The 5,105-nt window shown below is 46.8% G+C and overlaps 1 annotated feature.

Moving 5' to 3' along the window:
- Nucleotides 3,069-3,168: a silencer, noted in NCBI's record as "silent region_2517". NCBI's record gives its function as "represses an Ori minimal core promoter by ATAC-STARR-seq in GM12878 lymphoblastoid cells {active_cell/tissue: GM12878}" and the evidence as "EXISTENCE:reporter gene assay evidence [ECO:0000049][PMID:35858748]".

The raw sequence follows: 5,105 nt of genomic DNA on the forward strand, positions 1-5,105 counted from the left end.
CAGGATTTTGCCTCTGTCGTGTCCCACTGATGAACAATCTAGAGGTTCCCTTTAGAAAGGTGACTCTTGAATATTGAGAGGACAATATCTCTCACTGAGGATCATCTGGAGCTTGATGTCCTTTCCCCTTAAAGAGGAACCTCAGATCTTTCAGGGCCTTGCAAGTGTATTGAGGAGCTGAGGGCATTGCTTCCAACTCTGGTGTCCTGAAGCCTTTTCACGGCTTCACTCGGGTATGTTGTATCCAGCTGGCAATCTCTAGTACTTTAATGGCCCTGGGGGTAAATAATAAAACAGTGAAGGGGTCCTTCCAGAACAAAAACCCAATCTAGCAGTGTCCTGCAAAAAAGCCATAAATACAGACCAATAAACTGGTTTCTGGGTTCAAGAGGGAAGTTCAGTAAAGGTCCTAGTAGAAGGTGCTTACCATATTTCAGCAGAATGCTGTTAGAGTCCCAGAATGTAAGAATCACCATTCTAGGAATGCTGCCTGGAGCCAGGAAGGAGAGGTAGATCCTCACCTTTGGCTAGAAACTGAGTCTTTGAGTCTCCCACCAGGGAAATTTCCCCAGTGGATTTTGCGTGGACATCTGACTAATCCAGAAAGAGACCTGAAGGTGGGAGAGACCCTGCCATCTTCCTGGCCATTCTAGAAAGTCCAAACACAAAGAGAAATGACCTCCCGTTTCTCTGAGCACTGCAGCCACTACAATTTCGTAGCATCCACAGAGTGCCTCGCCAGCTCTTTCTCTCTGAGGACCTCTGACATGGGCTTATTTAAGCGCAAACTTTAGATGCTTCCAGAAAGATGGCTTGCCTACAGCACTATGCAGCTGGAACAGGGAGACTGTTAGAGGCAGACACTGCCCAGCGTGTGTCTCAGACCTCCCTTCAGAAAAAGCCTCTGTGAGCTCCAGGACACTGTGCTAAATGCATTTTCTGCAAGATGCTACACTGAATTGAAAGCGTGCAAAAACATCCTTTTGGTTATCTATAAATTTCATTTTGTTCTTCTCTCCTAATAACAAAATTGAAAGCTGTAAGTTGAACAAAGCAACCTGCAAACTGCTCTAGCAGCCCTGGGAACTCCCTGGGTGATATATGGTCATGGGCTTAGAGCTTTTCATTTGACTTGCTCTTGGCTTTTCTATCAAGATCTGTCTTGGTGACACTCTACTGAGATAGATGAGTTGGTATGCATAAGTGGCTTTTATTTCAGAAGGTAATACATATTCTATTTAAAGTACAATGACCCAGAAGGGAATTCCAGCCCCTTTATCATTAGTATAGAAATTCAATGGTTCATAATCTGGTAGCTCATTGAAATGACTTTTCATTAACTTCAATGGTTCATAATGTGGTGGCCCATTGAAATGATGTTCCATTAAATTCAATGGGGGATATTATTTGAGTCAGAACCAATTTACAAACTAAACAGAATGCAGGCACACATCGCACTGCCCAGAGGGCTCGCTCGGCTCTCTCTTCCCTGGGTCTTCCATGAAGACTGGTGAGATCAGCACTGCCTGGGAGCTGAGGTGGTAGGCAGAGAAAAAGCATGTAGGCAGGGCATGCCCTTCCTTCTAGGGGAATAATAGTTGAGGCCAGAGACCATAATGGGCAATTTACATGTCCCAAAATTCAATGCACATATTTCCCTAATGCTTAGACCACCTTCACAATTTTGACCATATCGTCATACTGCCTTTTCAATTACTTACTAATATTTGTCTTCAATAGACTACTTTTATTTACCTAAATTTATTTCAAAAGGAAATTCTATACCACTATCTTCCTGGAAAACCAACATCACTGTAAGTAGCAGGTAAATAAATACAGTAGTCTCTCACTTTTCTGCAGGGCATACCTTCCCAGAACCCCTGTGGATGCCTGAAGCCACAGATAGCACTGAACTCTACACACAGTATATACAAGTTTTTCCATCTGATAACCGAGAACACTGCTCAGGTACTAACAGGCAGGTGGTGGGTGGTGCATACACTGGACAAAGGAATGATTTATATCCCAGGCAGGATGGAGCATTTGGCAAGAGATTTCATCATACTACTCAGAATGGCAGCAGTTTAAAACTTATGAATTGTTTATTTCTGGAACTTTCCATTGAATATTTTTGGACTGTGGTTGACCACAGGTAACTGAAATTGCAGAAAGCAAAACCTCAGATAAGAGGGGGACTACTGTAATAATAAAATAAAAATAAATAACAAATCAAAATATAAATACATTAGAAATAAATAGAAGGCAAGTGTAAAAGTAAATATAATAAATGCAAACAATGCTGTAAAATCAGAGCTTGCTGTTTTCAGGTGAAAGCCCTCCATCTGAAGCCTAGACTGCCTTTGCTAAAAGGAGAAATTGGTAAGTGTTGTAGAGATGTTCCAGGCACAATGACCATCTCTGTGGCAATCAGGTTAGAGAGGGAATTGGGCAGGGCATGACTTTCCCACTGAGTGCCAAGACCGGAGTATAAGCTCAAATCATCCTTTGTACCGCGTGGGGTCAAGCAGCCTGCCTTTTTGGAAGCACTGCTTTCCTACTCGTTTTAATTCTTACACGAGGCTGGGCACAGTGGCTCACGCCTGTAATCCCAGCACTTTGGGAGGCCCAGGCAGGTGGATCACCTGAGGTCAGGAGTTCGTGACCAGCCTGGCCAACATGGTGAAACCCCATCTCTACTAAAAAACTACAAAAATTAGCCAGGTGTGGTGGTAGGCACCTGTAATCCCAGCTACTCAGGAGGTTGAAGCAGGAGAATTGTTTGAACCCGGGAGATGAAGGTTACAGTGAGCAAAGATCATGCCACTGCGCTCCAGCCTGGGCGACAGAGCAAGGCTCTGTCTCAAAAAAAAAAAACTTACACCATCTCCTAAAGTATCACCCCCACTATACAGATGTGGAAACTGAGGCTCAAGTAAGTTAAGTAAGCAACTTGTCCAAAGTCACACACAGAGTGTCCTCAAGGTCAGTGCACAGCATTATCAGGGGTCACTCAGCCCTCTGACCCTATCGCCATCTGGGCCATTATAATTCTAGAAGGAAAAGCACATTAGAGATTTTGTCTGACTTCCTCTTTTTAGAGTGAGAAAAGTGCAGCCTAGAGGTGTTTAATAACCTGCCCAAAGCCTCTTTGTTCCCCAGCGACTGAGCTGAGGTTAGAATCCTTATCTGGTGTGCTTTCTGTCCTCTCAAAGTCCACCCGGCCAGCAGATGAGCCTGTTGGGAGCCAGGCAGGTGGTAAAGTTTCCTCACCATCCTCCTTTCTGCTCCCAGCAGGCCTAGGAAATCCTTTCTTGCTGACCTTTCTTTCAAATGCTAATCTGGGCCTCTGAGGCTGGGGTGGGGGGGTGGGAGGGGGGGCCTTTCCCCCATTGGGAGCCCCACTGCCAGGTGAGCCCATGGCTGTGAGTCAGCACAGAGAGCTTCAGAAGTCCCTCACTGATGGGGGGCATGCAGGGAGTGTGCCCCATGGCATCTGGGCCTTTGCAAAGCCTGTAGGGGCCGGGGTGCCCCATTAGCCCAGGAGATGCCCCTGCAGGAGGCTTTAAACTCAGCAGGTGCACCTCACAGCTCCTCGGTCTCAGACACAGCCTGAGGTCAAGACAGAAGCTGTGAAGAAGCTCTGTTGGGTGAGCCCTGGGGCTGCAGGCAAGCCAGGACCTTTGGAGGCCCTGGGAGGCTGGCAGGGGTGAGGGAGAATGGCAGGTGCAGGTGCCATACTGCACCTTTGGGAAGAGCAAAGGTGGTGGGGTGAGCGGGTCGAGTTATGAGAAAGTTCACAGAAACAAAAGAGGGGGTATGAGAGTAGAAGTGGGAGGACAGAGAAAGAGAAGGAAGAAAAGAAGTAAAAAATAAAAGGAAACAGAGAGAGAAGAAAAAGAAAGAGAAGGGAGGGAGGGAAGGAAGGAAGGAAGGAAGGAAGGAAGGAAGGAAGGAAGGAAGGAAGGAAGGAAGGAAGGAAGGAAGAAGAAATAAATAAATAGAGAGACCTAAGAAACAAGGCAGAGAAAGGGACATCACCTGTCCCAGCCAGTGGCCTCTTCTGAGTTGCTCCACTTCCCTAACAAAGCACAGAGACATTATGCCTGTAATATAAGGGGGTCCAAAGTGCCCACAGTAAGAAACAAGTATTCTCCCCTTAAAGGAAAGGCACAGGATCCTGGTGGCAAATTTCTGACAAGTGAGCTCCCCACCCCCAACACACACACACAGACAGACACACACACACACACAATGGACTGTCTCCTTTCTCAGAGGGATACATGCTTGAGATGCTGGGTGTACCTGCAAAGCACAGGCCTGGGAAGCCCCTCCAACACAGATGGTCTTGTCTTATAAGTGTCAGGGTTTGTGCCAGCTGAAAGGGAGCCCGGACTTCTGTATAGGAGGTGAGGACAAGGGCAGAATCTCCTTCATTGTGTATTCTTTTCTCATCACCCAGAAGAGGATTAATCATATTAGGACTCAGCAGAAACAAACGAGAAGAAGCTGCACATGGCCAGGCAGTGCCTCCCATCCCCAGGCAGTGCCTCCCATCCCCATTAGTGGCCTGCGGGAGGAACTTTCCATGGGAATCCCACCCAGCCCAGCCTCCTTGCAGGGCAAGGGCCCAGGACACTGGTCTCTCCAGCTGACTGCACAGGGCTTTAAAGCCAAGGATGAGGCAGGGGAGGAGAGGGTCTCAGTGTAACACATTCTACTCTACCCTCCAGGGCTCAGTTCCTCAATTCTACAAAGGAAAAAATATTAGGTGTTTATTAGGTAAATATTTATTAAGCACCTACCATGTGCTTTGTGCTATTGGCAATTTCTATAAACAGGGTTTTCCCATCCACAGCAGCTCTCCCTACCACATGAGAGGGTCCCTGGAGGAGCAACCACATGGATTAAATATTTCACACCATGAGTCAATGGAAGTGCTAGCTCAGCCCTCAAGTTGCTGCATGATCCCACTCTGGAGTTCCATGGAGCTGGGTTCCAATTTCAGCTCTCCTCCTCTCTCAGGCTGCAGGCTGTGGGTTAGGTTTCTTAGCCTCTTGAATTTCAGTTTCTCCATCTATATAGTAGAGAGAATAACAGTGCCTTCT

The sequence above is a fragment of the Homo sapiens genome, chromosome 10 (assembly GCF_000001405.40).
Source record: "Homo sapiens chromosome 10, GRCh38.p14 Primary Assembly".
Lineage (NCBI taxonomy): Eukaryota > Metazoa > Chordata > Mammalia > Primates > Hominidae > Homo > Homo sapiens.